The sequence below is a fragment of the Homo sapiens genome, chromosome 1 (genome assembly GCF_000001405.40).
Source record: "Homo sapiens chromosome 1, GRCh38.p14 Primary Assembly".
Classification (NCBI taxonomy): Eukaryota; Metazoa; Chordata; class Mammalia; order Primates; family Hominidae; genus Homo; species Homo sapiens.
In genome coordinates this window covers 59,794,574-59,818,965 of record NC_000001.11, presented here as the reverse complement: position 1 = coordinate 59,818,965, position 24,392 = coordinate 59,794,574, and the positions used below count along the sequence as shown (strand labels likewise).

Below are 24,392 nucleotides of genomic sequence, written 5' to 3'. Positions count from 1 at the left end.
ACAAATAATCAGAAATGTGGAAATGCTGTTCCTAAACTACTTTAATATAAATGTCACAGAAATCAAGGAAAATGGGGTTTTCACAACCAACAGCCAACAAAAACTCAATCTTGGATCAACTTTATTTTCATATTCTCCTCCTCCAGCTGCTCATTACAAAAAAAACAACCATTGCTTTAAGTTTTAAGATCTTCATAAAAATAATTGAGGTTTTAATAATTTTCTAAATTTAGGCATATATTAATTATTACTCTTTCCTTCATCTGCCTGTCAAAGAATGCAAGAACCAAGAAAAACATTTAAATATATTTGGTCCAACCTTCTAATTTTATTGGTGAAAGTAAGGTCCAAAGATATTAAACAAATTTCCAATGTCACAGAACCAAGTAGCAGAATTAAATTTATCTTTATACAAACATTTCTTCAAACTCTCATACATGTCCTCCAACATGTAAATGATACCCACATTTACCCTTTTGCCCTGAATTTTCTGCTAAGTAGCAGTACAACATTTCTAAGAGCCAATTATTTTAAGACGGTGAGTTCCAAATCATAAAATGCAATTTTTAAAAAATTGCCACAAGAGGCATTCCTTCACATAACTAACTTTTCTTGATGACTTCTCTAATTCTGTTGATGTTGGCTCCATTCTCCTCCTAGCGCTGAAAGAAGAGTTATTCCCAACTGTCTTATCTCCATGATTTGGCCCCATCATAACTTTTTTTAATCTTCTATCTTTGAGCCAGGGTTATCATGACAAATGTGTGTGTTCCACTATCTCCCTTTAATCTATAGCCAAAGGAGACCATTTGTTTTACTACTAGTGTCTCTTCCCTGTGTCTGGAGAACTAATTTCCACTGATTTCTACTTGCTGAAATCCAACAATCCTCTATGACCCAGTTAAAAATTCACTCCCAAGTATTTATAAAAAACTAAGCTATATCACACTTAATGGTGAAACACTAGTCTCTGAGGTGAGAACCAAGGCAATGATATTTACTATCACCACTTTGATTTGGTGTCTTATTGGCAATAGTTGTCAGTGTTCTCCTAGGGACAGAGCAGAAAATAGGTCATGTAAGAGCTCTGATCCCAAAAGCCAACTGGATTACTTTAGAAAGTACTGTGTTATAGATAAGACAGAAAGAGGTTAACAGGTTACAGTGGGATAAGGGTGGGAGACAAACTTTAGAAATGGTTGTAACAAAGAGTCCCTGAAAAGCAACATCTGACCCAAGACCTGAATGACGGAAGCAGCCAACCACTGGAAGAACTAGAAAGAGAATATTCTAGGTAGAGGGAAAAAAATCCCTGATGCATTAAAACAGCTTAGCTTCTTCAACAAATAGAAAGTCAATGCAGCATGATAGGCTTGAAGAACTGTTGCTTGAGGTGAGTTTGGAGAAAGTTGGGTAGGTGAGGTAAGATCAACAGTGCGGTTGCTGGCAAAGGCAAAAATAATTAGTTAATTAAAAAAAAAAGACAGTAAACTTCACTGGAAATCATCTAAAGAGGTAAAGAAAAGGCAACAGACAAGATAACCAGAAACCAAGACAAGATAATTTCACAAAGGAACCATCAAGTAAGAAAATGGTAATATAACACTTAGTGGATTTAGCAAACTGGTAATGAAGTGAAAGTCTTAGAGGAAAGAAACTCAAGGGTAGTGGGTTGAAGACTGAATGAGAGTGAAGCATAAAGGGTGAGAATAAAACAACTCAAATTTTACTGTGAAGGAAAGGGGAAATACAGTATGACTTTAACACGGAATAGTGGCTCTTTGTTCTCTGTTAAAAAAGGGGAATACTTCAGCAAGTTTATACATACAGAGAAAGGAGCCAATGGAGAGAAAGTAGTTGTAAATACAGAAAGGGAACAAATGATACAATAACGTTTTAAAAGAGGTGGAAGGGATGGAGTCTAAAGCCAGAGCCAAGGATAAGGAGGTGGTCATTTGCCCCAGAGGAATAAGAGTTGGGGGCTCAGGTAGAATACTGATAAAGGTTTGCTAAGAGGAATGTGAGAGAAACTGTCTGGTTATTCTTAAGTATGGGCAATGTTAGGAGAAAAGGTGCGTTTGACAGTAACAGCATTAGTAGAGGCAACAGTTTGCACGGTCATTCAATTTTCTCCACAGTGCTCAGCAGCCCAAGAGAGGACTGAAGAAAACGACCAATTTTACTCTGTTATCTGTGATTCCTTATCATTTGGTTTACAACATATTTGCAGCTTTTACGGAATTTTACCTTCCACTGTAATTACACACAGCTCTGGCTACCACTCCAGTCCTCCCCAGTGCCTAGCTCAACATTGGAAGTCAATAAATTCTGGTTAAAAGAGTGGATACAGTCACATAATATTTTAAAATATTACAACACAAAAGAAAATCCTGTGCTTCTCCACCACCTCACATGTAAATCAATGACATCATAAAGACTAAGCTTAACACTTCAGTCAATTGAGGTTTACAATAATGTAGCAGATTCGGATACACCCTTTAATTAGTCTGTTTTAACAAAACAAATCATTAAAAGTAATGTTGCCTTGTTTCTACGACAGTCTTAAATACAGCACTTCCACCCCAATACCTATTTCAAATGAAAATTCAGCTGAACAGTTAGCTAATTGCTTTTAACTCACAAACCCTAAATATTTGCATTCCACTAAAAGCAAAAGTTATTTACTTACAAAGTGTAAATGCTTTAAATTATGGCTATTTCCAATAGGCTTCACACATTTCCATAAACCTAGATTTCTCATTCTTTGGAATTAGATGCATTAGATCACTAGGGAATCTCAACCGATTACAGCCTCCTGATCCCGTCTGTTTACATTCCATCTGCACACACTCCCCTAGACGCAACTAAACAACTGGTTTGGGATGAGCATCATCAACAGCACCTTGTGGCTCATCAAACACCATCTTTACTCAATATGGGTTAAGAACCACACCTGAATGCCAGCACTGATATCTAAGTAACTCTAAGAGGTGGGATGTCATTTTGCTGACTGGAATATTGAACAATCTGGGGACAGATATGCCTGTCCAGACCCAACACAAATTAACAAAAATCCTAAACACAGATAAATCCTAAAGAAAAATGTCAACTCATTTTCTTTAAAGAAAATGCTGTCCATTTAGAGGAGGAGAGGGCCAGCGAGAAAAAGGGAAAACGACCCCCGACTCCCAACACATCTTTTTCTCCATACGGGAAATACAAACATCTCTTTGAAGCGGCTTCTACAAAATCGGATGTTCTAGAGTCCTGAAGGAGCATTGGTCCGGGAACTAAAACAGCCAGCCACCTCCTGGCCACCTGTGTCCAGGTAGAGCAAGGTAGTTTGAGGATGCAGGGTTAGGTTTCGGAAAGGGTCTTCACGCCCAAGCGGACCAAGGCAAGAGAGTCGGCGATCCAGAAAGTGGAGGGCTCGGGCGCTGTTCAGGGGGAGAAAATGGGGCAGCGGGGAGAAAAGAGGATGGGTGCTTGGTTCATATCCCAGCTGTTAGGGCACCAGGCAGGTCGAATCCTCTGGTTGAGACCAGAGCCTCCACTGTTACGCTCCCAGAGCTTCCTTTACCCCCACCCCCGGACACCAACCCGCGCCCACACACCTGCCCGTCGACCCGCAGGTGGCATTCTCTCGGTCAAGGGCACGAGGTGAGAAGGGCAGGGTGCGCCGGGACCCTGTGCAGGTAGCCCCAGCTCACCTGGGAGAACCGGGCGCCCCAGGCTCCTCGCCTCGGCCCCCTGGCCCCCTCGCCCTCTCGCCTCCTCGCACTCACCCAGATCATGAGGCTGTCGCACAGGGGCAGCTTAGGCTGCGGCGGCGGCTGCGTCTCCTCCATGGCCGGCGCCGCCGTCGACGACGCCGCGGACACCTTCACACTCCCTCCTACCGGCTCTCCTCCAGGAGCCGGCGTCCACGACCTGCTAGCCCCCAGGAAAGCTCGGTACCAGGCCCGACCCGCGCAGCTCACGCGCGAACCCTCGCGCTGTCGACGCGTCCGGCGTCACCCCCTCCTCACCCGCCCCCGCCTCGCTCCAGCGTTCGCCCCCTCCCCTTCCTGGGCCCCGGCCGCGCTGCCAGGCACCTGAGCCCCGCCTTCTCCCACCCCTCCCCTCCTCCCACCCGTCCTGCCCACTCCCGCACACCTCGCCCCGCCGCCCTGAGTGACCTGGCCGCGCACCAGTCACAGAGACGGTAGGTACCCGGGGGGGCGGGCGGGGCGGGGCGGGGGCGGGAAGAACCGGGATAGGTTGCGCAGGGGGGATTGCTGATTGGACGTGCCCTCGTGGGCTCTGGCCAATCAACGTGAGACAAGCCTGAGCCTTGGGTAGAGAGTGAGAGTGGGTGGGAAGAGGTTTATGACCTGGCAGGTGCAGTGAGGGCGGGGGTGGGAGGTTGCGCGCGGGAAGCGAGCGCGCGTGCGCGGCGGGGATTGGTAAGGCTGAAGCTCAGCCCCAGTGGCCGAAGAGGCAGAGGGGCAGCAGGGCACCGGCTGGGCTCAGGCGTCTTCCCTCCTTCTTCGCGGTAGCACGCCGCCTCGCTACACCTGTGGAGGGCCCACACTCTGCTTCCACATTGTCTTCAGAAATAGATCCTACCGGCTGGGCGAGGTGGCTCACGCCTGTAATCCTAGCACTTTGGGAGGCTGAGGCGGGTGGATCACCTGAGGTCAGGAGTTCGAGACCCGCCAGGCCAAGATGGCGAAACCCATTCTCTACTAAAAATACAAAGATTAGCCGGGGGTGGTGGCACATGACTGTAATCCCAGCTACTCAGGAGGCTGAGGCAGAAGAATCGCTTGAACCCGGGAGGCACAGGTTGCAGTGAGCCGAGATCATGCCACTGCACCCCAGCCTGGACAAAAAACCGAGACTCTGTCTCTAAAAAATATATAAAACAAAATAAAGAAAGAAAGAAATAGATCATACCCATGAATTAAAACTCTTCGAGGAAGGAAGAGCTGATTTCCTCCTAGGCACTCATTGGAAAGGGATGTTTTCATTTGCACACGTGGCAAATATGCCACATTAATAAGGAAAATAGAATCCGTCAGTGCTCCTTAAATAAGCTCTCACGGGACCATAGATCATGAGCAATTTTATTTTACATGGGGCAAAAGGGAAGACCGTTTTCAAGTAGCAAAATAAACGAAATGTTTTGAAAAACATGGAAGATATTAATGTATCCATTTTCCTTTGTCAGTTGAAAATTTGCTTTTTCCGAGAATGTTGTGGGGTGGAGGGGGGTCGGGGGAGGTGACCTGAAATTGGAAGCTCTCCAAGGTATTGATAGATGGCTTAGGTGATTGAAAAGGGCTAGACTATTCTTAGTCTTGCTGTCACTTCACTCATTCATAAACTCATCAATTCATGCTCTGAGTAAGAAAACAGCTGGCTTTTTTTTATATTGCTGCGTTTTTATATTTAGACACTGAAAATTTAAAACTGATGGACGACTGCAATTAAAAGCCCCCAAGTGTAAATCAGTCTCATTCTAAAAATACAGTATGTACGTTTGCTATTGACTCCCTTAACATTATTCCAGAACTTTCTTAACGCCTCTGGAGTCACTTTATATGCTGGAACTAGGTACATTGGTAATGTGATTTAATTAAAACTACAAGATTTAGGAATTGAAGACCTGGTCTGAATCTTGACTTTATTCCCCACTGGCTGCTCTCCTATAGCCCCCAACCTCCACATTCCTAAGATCATTGTAATTAAAATGTAAACATACATGGTAAATGTAAATTATAAACTTTGTAAATATGAGTTACTATTATCATCTATACATATGGGAAACTTCTCAACATATTTATCACTGAGAGCCACAAGTGACCAAATTTCTCAAATAAAATAATTCGTGAGAGTAACTTGGTGGGGGGGGCAATTAAGTTATGCTTCTGGACTTTATAGAGAGTAAATTATCAGGGAAGGAAAAATTTAACAATTTTTATCAAGAAACTTTAAAATATCCATATCATTTAAACCCATGATTCCAATTTATTCTGCGTCAGTCATAAATTCTGTTGAAATCATCAGAAGTGCATTTGGAGGCTTTGAACAATGATATGTATGGCAATGCTATGTATTGATCAATTGTATAATCGATTGATACAATGCCCAATAAGCAAGGAAGGCTAAATATTTTACAGCAGATTCAGTGCTCTGGAGAATATTTGATAACTCAGGAAAGTTGTCACAATGTATACTATTAAATAAAATTTAGATGAAAGTATCAGCCATATGACCTCAATATTATAAATATTAGGTATGTATTTTAATATATACACAGGAAGAAGACAAAGGAATAATCATAAAACTGTTGTTATATTTATATACAAATGAAAAATGACTATTTTTCTAATCTTCCATATTTTCTAGGCTTTCTACAATTAGCTTATATTACTTTATAATCAGAAAAAAAGACTTTAGAAGAAATGCCAAATACAACATAAGTTATCATTTCCAACTATTAAATTGGCATCAGTTCTTTAGAAGTTGGCATCCATGTTTGGGGAGTTGAGTGAAACTAACTCTTAAACCCTAGCTGTGGGATTATAAATGGGTACAAAGTTTTTTGACAATATATATCAAGAGCCTTTAAAATGTTCAAAGTCTTTAAGCCAGTAAGTTCACTTTCAGAATCTATTCTAAGAAAATAATCATATGCCAACAAAGTTGTTGATTGCAGTACTATTTATCAAGCAAAAAGGAAAAGAAACAGCTATTAAATGTCTGAAAGAGAAGTGATTAAACACAGTAAGTTATATTTAAACAATGAAATGTATCATAGGCATTAAAATATTTTAAAATAAGTTTATTCAGGAAAATGCTTATCACATAATGTTAAGAAAAAAAGCCATTATGCAATCTGTGCATACAGCATAGATCCCAACATATACATAAATATATGGGCCAGGTGCAATGGCTCAAGCCTGTAATGCCGGCACTTTGGGAGGCTGAGGTGGTGGGAGGATCACTTGAGTCCAGGAGTTTGAGATCAGCCTGGGCAACATAGAGAGAACCCGTCATTACCTTGAATAAATAAATAAATAAATGTATGTATGTAAATATATATTTATGTGTGGATCCCTATTTGGGTGTGCCTGGGTGTGTGTATATATACTGTATACATACACCCCCAGAGAGAGAAAAAAAGAAAGAGACTACAGAAAATATACCAAGATGTTGATAGTGATGATGATAATGTCTAGGTATTGGAATAATGGGTGAGTTTTACCTTCTTTGTAATTTCCAGTGAATTTGAAATTTTCTACCGTGATTTTATTGTCATGAAAAAGGAGTAAAGCCTGAAAATGTTTAAAATTATGAATATGGTAGAATCTCAACTGTGAAGAATATATATAGGAATACATGCACACATACACATGTGTGCCCACGCATGCGTGCATGCTTATGCATCCATACAGAGGGACATTGAGAAGAGAGTTGGCTAAAATTAAGCCCAAAGTTTAGTGTTATAGAGACCTGATATCACTTCGTATTGCCTGGGTGATCTTGAGCAAATGACAATTTCATTAAAGCTCAGTTTCAGTCTCTCTAAGCTGGGATAATACTAGTATATTTCTGTGTATTTCTGTATTGATTAGGAATTTTTTTGGTGGTAAGTGGGAGAAACCAAACCTGGTAGCTTATTTTTTTTTTTAAATGTTTTTGGAAAAATACAAGAGGGTTCACAGGTTCAGAGGAAGAGCTGAAGAACCCAGCATGGGAAAGTGCAGGTCCCAAAATAGCTCATTGGATCTAGGTAGCAAAAACTATGGGAGTCTTTTCAGGATACCACCACCTGGATGAGTAGGATAAAATGGCTGCTCAGTCTTTCTGAGTCATTCTGTTCAAGATTCCAATTCCAGGGGGAGCATCTGACTGGCCTGTTTTGGGATTTTGTCTAACCCTTTCCCAGAAGAGGGTAGAGCACCTAGACTGGCTGCCCCACATAGATTGCAGGCCTAAGGCGAGATCACAGAGCTGTCGCCCATTGAAAGGAGGAATGATGCCTGCAGACAAAAACAAAACCAATTCTTTCCACATGACTTCTTATGGTTGTTGTGAGGGTCAAATGTATGTAAAATGCTTAATATAAATCCTAGCTTATAGTTGTTGCTCAATACATTTTAGCTATTCTTTACACCACACACGTGTGTGTGCATGTGTGCACTGAAAAGAAACATGAAAAAAAATTAAAATATTAGTAAATGTTATTCATGGTAATTAATTATTATCTTTTTGTATTTTCCAATTTCATCAAAATGGATGAATATTTGTTTTTTACTTAAAACAAACTTTTTTGTGTGTGTTGGGGAGAAAGGATGAGAAAGAGATTTTATGTTCTGAGTTGGTCTGTAAGTAAATAGATAAATGATAAGAGGAGAAAATCCCTAGCTAGGCACTTTAAATAGAACTGCAGTAGGCCCTACTTGTAAAGAAGATATCTGTGTCTTACACATACAAATGATGAAATGAAGAAACTGAGAATTCTAAGGCTTTCCTGCTGATTTCTAGGTAACCCTGAATGTCTCAGAATGGATATCAGCTAGAAGACTCTGACCTGGACAGATGCAGATCTAGACATACAGTTCCTGCAGTCATGCTAGTAGAGAGATCATGTCAGCAGCAAAGAGTGCAATTGGACGTCAGCAGCAAAGCATTCATTCCTGAAGGAAATTATTGAACCCACACACAGAGAATTCTGACAGCATTGTTTAGGTAAAGCTTCCCCTTCCACAGACCCCCAAACACATGTCCTGCAAATGTTGAAGGTAGGAAGGAAGGATGAAGGCATAAAAGAAGGGAGGGAAGAAAGAGGGAGAAAGGAAAGAACTGCAACATAGGCTCAATCTCAGCAACCGAGACAGAGGTAGCCAGAATGATATGAGATCCACCATAGGGATTAGTTTGCTTTTCTGGATGATGCCCACAAGAGTGGTCTGCAATCAAATAGGCAAAGAATTATAGCAAATTGCAAACTCAGGCTACCTCAAGTCAATATCAAAGTTCAGAAGAAGCTGAATGCAGCAGCTGTGACAATTTTCAGAATCTGGGAGGTACTTTGGAATAATAGTTTCCAGGCCCCGAGGGAGGAGATTTATATGCCCGAGGCAGAGTCACAGAAAGAGAGACAGGAATGAAAACTGACGTTTTACAACACCTCCTTGTTCTTAGACCTGTAAACACAGTGGGCACAAATACCTAAGGTGTATTTGAGCTCCATCAAATACCATACTAGGGTTTAGGGAAGCAAGACCAATCCCAGACATTATGGGTAAGATTTAGCTTTCTGTTAATGGAACAACCTTGACCATAATTGACTTGGATCTGAATGTTTAGGTAATGGGACTGGGAAGATAGGGACAAATATCCTATGGATATTTTCAGCCAGCATAACTATTAAGGTAGAGACTGGAGAAAGGTGATCAAGGATGTGGATTCCTTCCCACTGTGTGTAAAAATGAATATTCATTTATTTTTCACACTGGCTTGAAACTCACTCTTGCTATGAAATTAATATTAATTTAGGAACTGTATGAGATACTGGAAATTTTACTTCTAGGGCTGTTGAAGACTTGAGTTACATGGATTTTATATCACTTAATGAAACTGCCTTTTAATGCATTTTACTTCCAAGAGATGTTATTGCCAACCTGTTGGGCTGCCCAAAGAGAGATTACTCTAAGGATTCAATGGAGAAATTGAAGCCAAGTGCAAGTTCAAATTAAGGGAGACGACATCTCTGTCACTAGAGAATGCGCATCCATAGAGCAAGAGATTTTAAAATTGTACCATAAACAGAAAAAAAAAATCTTAACTTCGAGGACTTTTGTTATTGCAGCCTGTTGTAAATTGGATTTTCCAGGAAGTAGACCCTGAGATGGAGATTAGCATGTTGGAGGGTTATTAAGAAATGCTGTTGGGAATAACAGCTGTGAGAGAGGAGGGAAGGAAGAAGTAGTGGGCAGAGGGAGAAAGCAGGTTGTGGTGCAGGCTCAATGAAAGTCTTGACTTATCCCTGGGGAGTGCTGAAGCTGGAATGGTCCTTCCAAGTTGTTCCAAGTTTGAATGAGGGGAGTTGGTCTGTACGCTTCCATGTTGACAAATCATTCATTGCATGTGGGCTGCCCTAGAGAGGTGACGTGGCAGCCTAGGCAATTCACAAAGAAGGCTGATGGCTGATGGCTGTCTGCTGAAAGCACTCCAAGATGCTGGAAATATCCAGGCAGCACACCACAGTATACTCTGTAAGGCAGTAGCACCCACAGTAGCTTTGGGTGGGGATGAGGGTGCCATCACTCAGAATGGGAAAGCATGGTGTTTAAGTGTGGACAAGTAGGACTGAAAGTGTGGCAATAGGTATCATAACCACAAAGTTAAAATAGTCACAGAGGAAGAATGTTGGCATCTTTGGTTCTTGGATTAGAAGCCTCCAAAATGAGGAAGGATTTTAGCCATAGTTATAATTTCACTTAGGGGCTTAGTGTCAAATAACTAAATGAATGACACCTTGGAGGATTTAAGACAGGTTCCTGGGGAAACAAAAGTTACAAAAAAGATAAATCACAATACAGAGTAATCTTATCAATTATGTTTTAAACTTACAGGGAAGAGTGTTTAGCTTGCCATTTATTAAGTAAAAATAAATGTAACCATTTGATTTATTAAGCATATATAAACTCACCCCAAAGCTCTAAATCAAACATAATCGCACATAATTTATCTTGTCCTTAATAACTCCGATGAGAAAAAATTTAAATAGCAAGGTAAATGTAGCATTTATTTTCAAATACCTAAAAACAAGTAAAAATAGGCATTTAGTAAAAATGTACCGATAATGTAACCAATCTAAAGTATCATTTAAACGTATAAATCATGGAGTTTATATCTCAGTTTATCTGAGTGAATCACAAGACCTGTCATCATTTTACACTCTGTTGGAAGAGATGATCCATGGTTCTCATTCAGTTGGTGACCTATTTTTTATGTACAAAAATCCTTCTAATCCATGTAAGCAGGTTTTTAAAACAAAGACCAAACAGTGACACATAGTGAGTGTCTAATCATTTAATCCACAGATGTTTGTCTCTAAAAAGCAAGAATTACAATATAACAAAGGGTACCTCCTATTGGTGTTTGTTTGTTTGTTTTTGAGACGAGGTCTCACTGTGTCACCCTTGAGTGGAGTGGCATGATCCTGGCTCACTGCAGCTTCAAACTCCTGGGCTGAAGTGATCCCCCCCACCTCTCTCTCCTGAGTAGCTGGGACAACGGGCACGTGCCACCATGTTCAGCTAATTTTTTCATTTCTTGTAGCGATGCGGTCTTCTTATGTTGTCCAGGCTGATCTGAAACTCCTGGGCTCAAGCAATCCTCCTGCTTCAGCCTCCCAAGTGGTGGGATTACAGGTATGAGCCACCATGCCTGGCTGCTCCTATTGTTTTCAGGTGTGTTGAAAATTAATATTTTAAAAATTAAAATTATTTAATTACATTATATGTATGGAAAATAGATACAATCACATTCACAAGACTGGTTTCACAGGTTTAATAAGAACATAATGTTTAAGGATGATAGAGATCACTATGTTAGAAATAGTGATTATTTTTTATTACCGCTTGAGAAAAATACATTTGAAACTGTCGTTACAAAATGTGGCATTCTGAAGCCTCTACATGTATATCAGTTGAAAATACATTGAAGTGATATTTGCCTAAGGAGCTAGAATATCTTGCTTTCCCTTCATGTGTTAGATAAGTATAGCCTATATATAATATAATACATCTTAAAACGTCAAAATGTTAGAGGGAAGAAGTTTATCCGATCATTTATGGACACTAGAAAAGGGGGCTTCTTAATCATAAGCATTAACAAATTGGGCTATAAGAACAAAGAACAAAAATGTTCCGGAATGCCAGGAAAGATGTGCAAAGGGTTTACTAAACGCTCTTGCAGAAAATTCCTTGAAGCTCATGGCTAGTAAAATGTTTGAAACGATTTAACCCAGTAAATGAGTACTTCCTAATGTGATTTGGGAATATTCCCCAAAGATCTTTAAAACAAAACGACCAAGAAATAATGAAAAACAAAACTATTGGGTAGGACCTAGCCTTATACAGAAAAGAGGGAGCTGCACATTTCATTAAAGGATTTGCCACTATAAAAAGATTTCCTTCCCAGCGCTTTGGGAGGCAGAGGCGGGTGGATCACCTGAGGTCAGGAGTTCAAGACCAGCCCGACCAACATGGAGAAACCCCATCTCTACTAAAAATACAAAATTAGCCAGGCATGGTGGCACATGCCTGTAATCCCAGCTACTCGGGAGGCCAAGGCAGGAGAATCGCTTGAACCTGGGAGACAGAACTTGTGGTGAGCCGAGATCATGCCATTGCACTCCAGCCTGGGCAACAAGAGCAAAACTCCGTCTGAAAGAAGAAAAAAAAAAAGTTTCCTGGCCAAGCGCGGTGGCTCACGCCTGTAATCCCAGCACTTTGGAAGGCCAAGGCAGGAGGATCATGAGGTCAAGAGATCGAGACCATCCTGGCCTGGTGAAACCCCGTCTCTACATCTCTACTAAAAATACAAAAATTAGCCAGGCGTGGTGCCGCTGGCCTGTAGTCCCAGCTACTCGGGAGGCTGAGGCATGAGAATCGCTTGAACCCGGGAGGCGGAGGTTGCAGTGAGCCAAGATCATGCCACTGCACTCCAGCCTGGCAACAGAGCGAGACTCCATCTCAAAAAAAAAAAAAAAAAGTTTTCTATGAACACAATTGGTGACTGAGAACATATCCAATCATAAAGCTATAAAAAAAAAAACAATAATAGCTAAAACATGCAGCACTTATTAGGTGCTGTGCACTATTCAATGTACTTCACTTACACTAATTCATTTATCCTTAACAACCTGATAAAGTAAGTAATATTTTTCAACTTTATCTTACTGATGAGGGAACTGATGCATCAAGAGGCACCCAAGCTCATACAACTAATAAATTGCATACCTCATAAAACCTCTTTCCAGATGTGAAGAAGAGATTCATCCTTGGGGAGATCAGAGCTGATTTTTAAAGACAATCATTGCAAATAAAACATAACATATACAATCCTTCTTCAATCATTGCAGTTTCTGTATTTTCCCTTGTTACTGAAATAGTTCTTCAGGGAGTCAGCATTGTTTTTGTTCAACACAGTGAAACAAGAAAATCCATTGTGTCTAGATGAGTGAAATTAATGATTACCTATTGAAGAATCTACTGACTGAAGGTTCATGACTACAGTAAATGAGCTTGAATATGCTAAGCTTTTGGCATTTTGTATCTGAAGATGAGCTTGAATTATTTTTACCCATTTTTTAATATAAATCTCAAATTTTTCTGAAGAATAATTAAGTTGGCCATTCGGATTAAATAACTGGACTACCTGTGAGGCCGTATTTTTTAAATGTACAAAGTCCATTTTTAGGTTATAATCACCACATTGGTAGAGAGATAAAGAGAGAGAGGGATGCATATAAATAATTCAAGAGTAACAGAAATAATTACCGTTAGCCCTTAAATACTTCAGTATATATCTCTGAAGAATAAGAACATTCTCTTATCTAATTACATAGAATTATATAGTTGGGAAAATTAACAGTGACATAATAGTATTGTATAATGTGCACTCCTTTAAATTTACCTAATTGTCCACAATTATTTTTTTCTCTTTTTTTCTGGGACTCAAAGTCAAGGAATCAGGATTATGCATTGTATTTGACATGTTGCTTCAGTCTCCTCTGATCTAGGTCAGTTCTCCACTCCGTGTGTGTGTGTGTGTGTGTGTGTGTGTGTGTGTGTGTGCGCGTGTGTGTGTGTGAGAGAGAGAGAGATCTTTCATGACAGCAACATTTTTGAAGAGTCTAGTAGATTTGTTGGATTGTTTCTTGGTGATCAGATTTGGTTCAACTATTTTTGGAAGAGATTATATTGTGAGCTTAGTGTATCACATTAGCAATAACATGGTACTAGATTGTCTAATTACTAAGGACATTAAATTTTACCATTTGATTAGAATGATGTCCACTAGATCTCTCCATTGTAAAGATATTTTTCCATTGTTATTACTAAATAATCTGAGAATGTGTGTGTATATTTTTACCCCCAATTTTTCACTCAATGCCTTTGGCATCCATTAATAATTATTATCAGAATCAATTATTACTATGGTGTGTAAAAGGGTGCTGGTTTTCTATTTCCACTATTCCTTCTATATCTATTAGTTGGCATTATTCTACAAAAATAGCTTTTCCTCTTTCTTCATATCCACCTTTAATTTTTTTTAAGTGCAAATATGGACTATAAATATATGTTTATTCAGCATGTTATAATCCATTCCTGACATGAGTCATTTTAATCATCAGTCCCTCAGAAGTTCAGCCTGTGGGAATGCCTTCACATTGGCTTCTGCATCTTTTTTGCATAATCCATTGTTTTTTTGTGTACTTCTAGGCACAGGATGTTACAGGATCATTTTGTACTTTCATTGACCCTATCTTGGACTCAGCCATTTCTCCAAGGATCCCTGGTTCCATGTTGTAGGGAAGGATGTTTAGTAAGCCTGGATGTCTATGAGCAAAGCAGGCTCCATTTCATAATTTCATTCCTTGAAAATGAGATTTTGGTCACCTGTTAAAATAGGGTTACTCTTGTAAAAACTATAATATTGAACCTCATAGTCATTTAGGCTTTAGGGTGAACATATTTATCAGCCTATTTATTTCATAAGGGGTAATGGTGGCAATGCTGAAGTTAGAGGGCCCATGGAGGAAGAAAGAAAGCTAACATCAATTTCTTCTATTCCAGGCACCATCACATACATGATTGACATTAATCCTCATAAAAATCTTAGTTTTGCAAGTGAGGGAGTAACTTGTTCAAAGTTACTGTTTGTGTTATAGATATCCCAAAATTAAAACCCTTATTTGTTTGATCCTAAAAACTTCATCTGTGACTTCTACTACCAAAGGCCATTCTCCAAGCCAAGCAAGTAGGTCTGAGGGCTGAGAAGACACAGTTCACCCACTTCAAGTTTCAAGAAGGGCAAACTTTGGTCATGCTGTCTTCTGTGTTTCACTTGAAGTTGTTCAGCATGATCTGCATGCACAGCCACCCTCTCATTGTCCTTCGGCTGAGAATAGGGTTCAAATGTTTTTCCCTATTGCTCAGGAAGTCTGTGGGAAACAATTTCCTATTTCATTTGCTTTCAGTGTTTATTCAAAAAGAACAGATAGAATCTCAAACTGAATGCTGTTTCAGTTGGATTATTCATTACAAGTACTATCTGTTGCCAGAAGTTAGTGCTGGTGGTGGGAAAGCTTGTTGTAGGCTTGTAAGAGATAACTGAAACAAGCTGCCTGAGAAACAATGTTGGGTACAAAGCACAGAAGAACATGTTTTTGTCCCCTCTTCATTATGATCTTGGTCAAGTTCCTGAACTCTGTTGGCTCTCAGTTTTCTCACTGTAAATGGAGACAATAATAGTTTGCCTGCCTGAAGAAATGAGGTAAGCTGTCTAGTACAAAATCAACAACCACATATTGAATATCTTCTACAAAAGAGAGTTTCCTTTGACATTAGAAATGTGGAGAAATATAAGGCAGAGTTTCTACTCCTATTATGCTTAACATCCAGTTGAAGTTGCAGGACTTGCATCTTAAAAGGACAAATAAATAACATGGAGACATATTTGTAACACAGTATGTGAGTGTCAAAGACAAGGGAAAGGATTAATCACCAATAACATTATAAGCTTCTCAACTTAAAATAATAATAAAGAACGCTTTTCTCTTTTTTTAAAAAATATAAGTTTAGGAATAGATGTGCAGGATATGCAGGTTTTTTACATAGGTAAACGGGTACCATGGTGGTTTACTGCACAGATCATCCCATCACGCAAGTATTAAACCCAGAATCCATTAGCTATTTTTCCTGATGCTCTTCCCACCCCACAGGTGCCCAGTGTGTGTTGTTCCCCTCCATATGTCTATGAGTTCTCATCATTCAGCTCCCACATATAAGTGAGAACATGCAGTGTTTGGTTTTCTGTTCCTGTGTTACTTTGCTGAGGATAATGGCTTCTAACTCCATCCATGTCCCTGCAAAGGACATGATCCCATTCCTTTTTATGGCTGCATAGTATTCCATGGCATATATGTATCACATTTTCTTTATGCAATCTATCATTGATGGACATTTAGGTTGATTCCATGACTTTGCTACTGCAAATAGTGCTGCAATGAACATATGCATGCATGTATCTTTATAACTGAATGATTTATATGCCTTTGGGTACATACCCAGTAATGGGATTGCTGGGTCAAATGGTATTTCTGCATTTAGGTTTTTGAATAATCGCCACACTGTCTTCCACAGTGATTGAACTAATTTACACTCCTACCAACAGTGTAAAAACATTCCTTTTTCTTCATAACCACTGCAGCATCTGTTGTTTTTTGACTTTTTAATAGTAGCCATTCTAACTGGTGTGAGATGGTATCTCATTGTGGTTTTGATTTGCATTTCTCTAATGATCAGTGATGTTGAGCTTTTTTTCATATGTTTGTTGGCCGTATGTATGTCTTCCTTTGAGAAGGATCTGTTCATGTTCACTTTTTAATGTCCGCTTTTTAATGGGGTTGTTTATTTTTTTCTTGTAAATTTGTTTAAGTTACTTGTGGATTCTGGATATTAGATCTTTGTTAGGTAGATAGATAGATAGATAGATAGATAGATAGCAAAATTTTTCTCCCATTCTGTAGGCTGTCTGTTCACTCTGATAATAGTTTCTTTTGTTGTGCAGAAGCTCTTTAGTTTAATTAGATCCCATTTGTCAATTTTTGCTTTTATTGAATTGCTTTTGATATTTTTGTTGTGAAATTTTTGCTTGCGTCCTGAATGGTATTGTCTAGAGTGTCGTCTAGGATTTTTATAGTTTTGGGTTTTACATTTAAGTCTTTAATCCATTTTGAGTTAATTTTTGTATATGGTGTAAGGAGGGGGTCCAGTTTCAATTTTCTGCATACTGCTAGCCACTTCTCCTAGCACCATTTATTAAATAGGGGATCCTTTCCCCATTGTTTGTTTTTGTTAGATTTGTCAAAGATCAGATGGTTGCAGGTGTGTGGTCTCATTTCTGATTTCTCTATTCTGATTCATTAGTCTATGTGTCTGTTCTTGTACTAGTACCATGCTGTTTTGGTTACTGTAGCCTTGTAGTACAGTTTGAAGTCAGGTAGCATGATTCTCATTAAATTACCATTGACCTTCTTTACAGAATTAGAAAAAACTATCTTAAAATTCATATAGAACAAAAAAAAAGGGCCCAAATAGCCAAGTCAGTCCTAAGCAAAAATCACTTTTCTCTTTTCTCCTACCTATGTTTTAAACAAGAAAATAAGGAATAAGGAAGGAAAGAATAAAGGTACAACAAAACAAATGAAAAATGAAAAAGAAAAGGAAAAAATACAAAAAAAGCAGTAAAAGTAGATATGAAGATAAATATAAAAGTCAGTATTAATGTCTTTTCAGTTTATAAACCTCACTTTTTCTTATGTGATTTAAATCCAATTGCATAATACAAAAATTATAAATCTATGTTTATAAATACAAAGCATATAAAGATATCATTTGTGACAATAACAACATAAAGAGAGGGATGGAGCTGTGTAAATGCAAACATTTTGTATACAATTGAAACTAACTTGAATTGAAACTAGATTGCTATAAATGAAAACGTTAATTGTAATCCTCAGGGCAACCACTAAGAATACAACTTTAAAATGTGTAGAAAAAGAAAAGAGAAAGTAATCAAAAAGGTATACTAGAAAATACGTATTTAATACAAAAGAAGGCAGTAACAAAGGAATTAAAGAGCAAAAAAAAAACATATAGAAAGCAAATAGCAAAATGGCAAAAATCCTACCTTATCAGTAATTACATTAAAAATAAATGGATGAAAGCTCTAATGAAAAGGCAAATGTTGGCAGTAAAGATTGAAAAACATGATCTAATTGTATGCTGTCTATAAGAGACTTGCTTTAGATTCAAAGTCAAAATAAGTTGAAAGCTAAGAAATGGAAGAAGCTCCTTCATGCAAACACTAACTAAAAGACAGCTGGAGTAAATATATGACTATCAGACAAAATAGAGTTTAAGAAAGAAATTATGCCTGGTGCAGTAGCTCATGCCTGTAATCCCAACACTTTGGTAAGCCAAGGAGGGAAAATCACTTGAGCCTAGGAGTTCAAGACCAGCCTGGGCAACATAGGGAACCCCCATCTCAAAAGAGAGAGAGAGAGAGAGAGAGAGACAGAGAGAGAGGGAGAGAGAGAGAGAGACAGAGAGAGAGGGAGAGAGAGAGAGGGAGAGAGAGAGAGAGAAAGAAAGAAGGAAAGAGAGAGAAAGAAAGAAAGAAAGAAAGAAAGAAAGAAAGAAAGAAAGAAAGAAAGAAAGAAAGAAAATAAAGACATTAGCTGGGCTTAGTTGTATTTACCTGTGGTCCCAGCTATTTGAGAGACTGAGGTGGCAGGCGGGCTTGGGCCCAGGAGGTTGAGACTATAGTAAGATGTGATTGTACCACTGTACTACTCCAACCTGAGCAATAGAACAAGACCCTATCTCAAAAAAGAAAAAAGAAAAAATTGTTACAATAGACAAATCAGGATATTACATAATAATAAAGGGTCAATCCATCAAGAACATATATCAATTATAAACCTATAAACAGAGCCCCAAATATATGAAGCAAAGATGGGCAATTAAAGACAGAAGTAGGCAGTTCAACAATAAGAGTAGGACAGTTGCATATTCCACTTTCAATAATGAATAAGTCAACTAGGCAGATCATCAACAAGGACATAGAGGACTTGAATAACACTACAAGCCAACTATACCTAAGAGACATGTACAGGACACTCCATTCAACAACTGCAGAATACACATTCTTCTCAAGCGCATACGGATAATTCTCCAAGATGAACCATATGTTAAACTTCTAAACAAATCTCAATAAATTTTAAAATATTGAAATCATAACAAGTGTCTTTGGAATGAAATTAGAAATCTATAACAGAAGGGAAACTGGAAAATTCACAAATATGCGGAAATTAAACAACATACTCTTAAATAACCAATGGGCCAAAGAAGAAATCACAAGGGGATTTAGAAAATAGAGATGTATGAACATGAAAACACAACATACCAAAATCTATGAGATACAATGAAAGCAGTGCTCAGAGGGAAATTTATACTTTTAAATGCCTACGTTAAAAAAAAATCTTATATAAATAACCTAACCTTCCTAAGTGACTAGCAAAAAAAAAAAAAAAAAAAAAAAAAGGCAGACTAAGCCCACAGCAAACAGAAGGGCTGAAATAATAAAGATTTGAGCAGAGGTAAATGAAACAAAACATAGAAAAACAATAAAGAGAATTAATGAAACTAAACTTTGTTCTTTGAAAAGATCAACAAAATTGCCAAACTTTTACCTCAACTGATGAAGACAAAAAGAAGATTCAAATAAAAAATGAAAGTGGTAATATTACTATTAGCCTTATGACAATAAAAAGAATTATATAGAGTGCTATAAACATTTCTATGTGAAAAAAAATCATATAACCTAAACAAAATGAACAACTTCCTAGAAACACACAAACTACACACACAAACTATCAAAATTGACTCAAGATGAAATCTGAATAGACTTAAAACAAGTAAGGATATTGAATCAGTAATCAAAAATTCTAACAGAAAAAAGCTCATGACTGGGTGGCTTCACTGGCAAAGTCTACCAAATATTTTATGAAGCAGAGTAATTCTTTTCAAACTTCCAAAAAGTAGAAGGGGAGGAAATACTTCCCAACTCATTCTATGAGGCCAGCATTACCCTGATACCAAAGCCAGACAAAGATATGACAAGGAGAGAAAACTGCATGCCAATATCCCTTATGAATATAGATGCAAAAATTTTCAACACAATACTAGCAAACAAAATTCAACACTAGATTAAAAGGATTATACCTTATGACTAATTTTTTCCAGGGATGCAAGGGTGGTTCAACATATGAAAAGAAGTCAAATCAACATATTACAACATTTATGAAAGAAAGAGTAAAACCCCACACATTCATCTTAACTGATGACAAAAAGCATTTGACAAAATTCAACAGTCTTTCATGATGGGAACACTCAGTAAAGTAGAAATAGAAGGCAGCATTCTCAACATGATAAAGGCCATCTGGAAAATTCCATAGCTAACATCAAACTCTATGTAAAAGACCAAAAGCTTTCCCTGTAATATCAGGCACAAGACAAGAATTTTCATTCTTGCCACTTCCATTCAACATTATACTGAACGTTCTAGCCAGGTCAACAAGGTAAGAAAAAGAAATAAAAGGCATCTATATTAGAAAGGCAGAGGTAAAACTATTTCTAGTCACAGATGACATGATTTTATATCAAACAAAAAACTACTAAAGCTATGCATTACTCTGTTTTGCATTGCTATAAAGGAATTCCTGAGACTGGGTAATTTATAAAGAGTTTTCTTTGGCTCGCAGTTCTGCAGATTGTACAATCATGACACCAGGATCTGCTTGGCTTCTGGTGAAGCCTCAGGAAGCTTATACTCACGGCAGAAGGAAGGGGGAGCAGGCATGTGACACTGTGAGAGAGGGAACAAGAGAGAAGCCACCAAGAGGCCCCAGGCTCTTCTAAACAACCAGCTTTTATATGAACTAACAGAGTGAGAACTCATTACTGTGAGGAGAGCACCAAGCCATTCTTGAGGGATCTGTTCCCATGACCCAAACACCTCTCTCTAGGCCAACCTTCAACAATAGAGTTCATACTTCAACATGAGATTTGGAGGGGCCACACATCCAGACTATAGCAAGCTAATAGAGGAATTTAGCCAAGTTGCAGAATATAATATCAAAACTCCATGTATTTCTACAATGGATATCTGTATTGTATATAAAACCCCATTGTATTTATATATACGAGTAATGAACAATCTGAAAAAGAAACCATAAAACAATTTCATTTAAAATAACATCAGGCCCAGTGTGGTGGCTCACACCTGTAATCTCAGCACTTTGGGAGGCTGAGGCAGGCGGGTCACTTGAGGTCAGGAGTTCAAAACCAGCCTGGTCAACATGGCAAAACCCTGTCTCTACTAAAAATACAAAATTGGCTGAGTGTGATGGTGCATGCCTGTAGTCCCAGCTACTCAGGAGGCCGAGGCAGGAGAATCACTTGAACCTGGGAGGCAGAGGTTGCAGTGAGCTGTGATCATGCCACTGCACTCCAGCCTGGGTGACAGAGTGAGACTCTGTCTCAAAAACAAACAAATGAAACAAAAACAAACAGAAAAATAAAAATAAAGTAACATCAAAACGGTAAAATATTTAAGAATATATTTAACCAGGGAATTGTAACACTTGTGCACTGAACACTATAAAATTTTGCTGAAAGAGATTAAGGAGAACCTTAATAAGTAGAAAGAGATTTCATGTTCATGGATTGGAAGATATAATATTAAGATGACAATACTCCCCAAATTGATCTACAGATTCAGTGCAAGCTCTATCAAAATTTCAACTTCTTTTTTGAACAAATAGAGAAGCTGATTCTAAAATTCATATGGAATTGCAAGAGATGCAGGACATCCAAAATCCTGAAAAAGAAAGCAAAAAGAACTTAAACCCATACTTCAAAACTTACTACAAAGTTACAAAAATCAAAACAGTGTACTATTGGAATAAAGGTAGATATATAGGTCACTGGAGTATAATTGAGAGTCCAGAAAGAAATCAATATATCTATGGATAATTTATTTCTAATAAAGATGTCAAGACCATTCAATGGGGGAAAGAATTGTCTTTTCAAAAAATGATGCTTGGACAAACGAATGTCTACACGGCAAAGAATGGATTTGGATCTTTACCTCATAACACATACATAAATTAATTCAAAACAGATTTAAAAATTCAAATGTAAAAGCTAAAACTATACAACTCTTGAAAGGAAACATAGGTGTAACTCTTCTTGACCTTAGATTAAGCAATAGTTTCTTAGCTAAGGTATCAAGAGCACAAGCAACAAAAGAAAAAATAGATAACATAAACTTCATTAAAATTAAAAACAAAAAAATTAATTGAAATCGTCATAATTATACATACTTAGTGGGTACAGAGTGACATTTCAATACATGCATACAATGTGTATTGATCAATCAGGGTAATTAGCATATCCATCATCTCAAACATCCATCATTTCTTTGTGTTGGGAACATTCAGCATCCTCCTTTTAGCTATCTGAAATGTTATAATATATTACTGTTGACTGTAGTCATCCCACAGGTGTATAAAACACTAGAACTTATTCCTCCTATCTAGCTGTAAGTTTGTATCCTTTAACTAACTTCTCTAACTCCCTCCTTTACCTACCCTTTTCTGGTAACCACAATTCTACTCTCTGCTTCTATGAGCTCAGCATTTCTAGTTTCCGCATTATGAGTGAGAACATGTGGTATTTATCATTCTGTGTCTGACTTATTTCACTTAACATAATATCTCCTAGGATGATCCATGTTGCTGCAAATGACAGAATTTTATTCTTTTTTATGGTTGAATAATATTTCATTGTGATATATATATATATCACATATATATATATGACATTTTTTTTATCCATTCATCTACTGATGGGCATGTAGGTTGATTCAATATCTTGCCTATTGTGAATAGTGCCACAATAAACACAGGGATGCAGATCACAATTCAGCATATGGTTTTCCTTTCCTTTGGATACATAACCAATAGTGGAATTGCTAGATCATATGGTAGTTCTATTTTCATTTTTTTTGAAGAAATTCCATACTGTTTTACATAATGGCTATACTAATTTACATTCCCACTAACAGAATATAAGAGTTCCCTTTTCTCTGCATCTTTGCCGGCATTTTTTTGTGTGTGCTTTTAATAAGAGCTAGTCTAACTAGATGAGATGATATCTCATTGTGGTTTTGATTTAAATTTTCTTAATGGTTTGTGATGTTGAGCACTTTTGCATATACATTGCCATTTGTATGTCTTTTTAAAAAATAAATGTCTATTTTGATCATTTGCCCATTTTTAAATCAGATTTTTTTTTTTTTGCTGTTGAATTGTTTGAGTTCCTTCTGTATTCTGGTTATTAATCCCTTGCCTCTTTATTCTCTTGATTGTTTCCTTTGTTACAGTGAAGCTTTTGAGTTTGATATAATCCCATTTGTCATTTTTGCTTTTGTTGCCTGTGCTCTTGAAGTCTCATCATTAAATCTTTGCTCAGAAGTGTTTCTCCTATGTTTTTTTCTGGTGGTTTTATAGTTTTGTGTCTTACATTTAAGTCTTTAATCCATTTCAAGTTGATTTTTGTATATGGTGAGAAGTAGAGGGTCTAATTTTATTCTTCTGGATATATATAGATATCCAGTTTTACCAGCACCATTTTTTGAAGAGTCTATCTTTTCCCCAGTGGATATTCTTGTCACCTTTGTCAATCAGTGGGCCATAAGTACATTAATTCATTTTTCTGTTTTCTGTTCTTTGCCATGGTCTATCTGTCTGTTTTTATGCTAGTACCATGCTATTTTGGTTAGTATAGCTTTGTATTATAATTTGAAAGCAGGAACTATAATGGCTTCAGCTTTGTTCCTTTTATTCAGAATTAGTTTGGCTATTTGGGGTCTTTTGTGATTTCATACAAATTTTAGGGTTTTTTTTTTCATTTCTATGAAGAATGCCATTGGCATTTTGATATGGATTAAATTGAATCTGTACATTGCTTTGGGTTATGTGGGCATTTTGACAATATTAATTATTCCAATCCATAAACATGGAATTTTTTTTCATTTGTTTTTTTTCTCTTCAATTATTTTCATCAGTGTTTTGTGGTTTTCATTGTAAAAATTTTTAACCTCTTTGGCTAAATTTATTCCTAGGTGTCTTTTTTGTAACTATTGTAAATAGGATTGTTTTCTTGATTTCCTCTTCAGCTAGTTTGTTATTGGTGTGTGGAAACATTACTGATTTTCCTATGGTGATTTTTTTAATCGTGCAATGTTAAGAGTTTTTAAAATAGTTCTAAGACTTTTTGGTGGAGTTTTCAGTTTTTTCTCTATATGAGATCATGTCATCTGCAAACAAGGACATTTTGACATTCTCTTTTCCAATTTGGATGCATTTTCTTTCTTTCTCTTGCCTTATTGCTCAGGCTAAGACTTCCCATGCTAGTTGAACAAGAGTGTTGAAAATGGGGATCCTTGTCTTGTTTGATTTCTTTGAGGAAAAGTTT

General features: G+C 37.8%; 1 protein-coding gene and 1 long non-coding RNA gene across 8 annotated transcripts in view, besides 2 other annotated features; one reads left to right on the top strand and one right to left on the bottom strand.

Annotated features, from left to right (window-relative positions):
* The window catches only part of HOOK1 (hook microtubule tethering protein 1), a 61,374-nt gene extending 57,357 nt beyond the window's left edge, over positions 1 to 4,017 (bottom strand). For 5 of the 7 annotated variants that reach the window (NM_015888.6, XM_047422232.1, XM_047422230.1 and 2 more), the window contains exon 1: positions 3,786 to 4,017. In NM_015888.6, coding sequence (NP_056972.1) covers positions 3,786 to 3,848 — 63 coding nt within the window. In that variant the 5' untranslated portion in view covers positions 3,849 to 4,017. Of the gene's footprint in view, positions 1 to 2,247; positions 2,267 to 3,224; positions 3,244 to 3,785 lie in introns of those variants that run through there. The other 2 variants (XM_047422225.1, XM_024447520.2) reach the window with 2 other exon arrangements.
* Positions 3,150 to 3,713: an enhancer, noted in NCBI's record as "NANOG-H3K4me1 hESC enhancer chr1:60280925-60281488 (GRCh37/hg19 assembly coordinates)". NCBI's record gives its function as "activates a minimal SCP1, AML or CMV promoter by ChIP-STARR-seq in naive H9 embryonic stem cells {active_cell/tissue: H9 hESC(naive)}" and the evidence as "EXISTENCE:reporter gene assay evidence [ECO:0000049][PMID:30033119]".
* Positions 3,950 to 4,549: a silencer, noted in NCBI's record as "silent region_943". NCBI's record gives its function as "represses an Ori minimal core promoter by ATAC-STARR-seq in GM12878 lymphoblastoid cells {active_cell/tissue: GM12878}" and the evidence as "EXISTENCE:reporter gene assay evidence [ECO:0000049][PMID:35858748]".
* LOC105378758 (uncharacterized) overlaps positions 4,100 to 24,392 on the top strand; it is a 44,047-nt gene continuing 23,754 nt past the window's right edge. Inside the window, exons 1-3 of the long non-coding RNA XR_947426.3 lie at positions 4,100 to 4,204; positions 8,536 to 8,739; positions 11,338 to 11,468. This is a non-coding gene — a long non-coding RNA (uncharacterized LOC105378758). The remainder of the gene's footprint in view (positions 4,205 to 8,535; positions 8,740 to 11,337; positions 11,469 to 24,392) is intronic.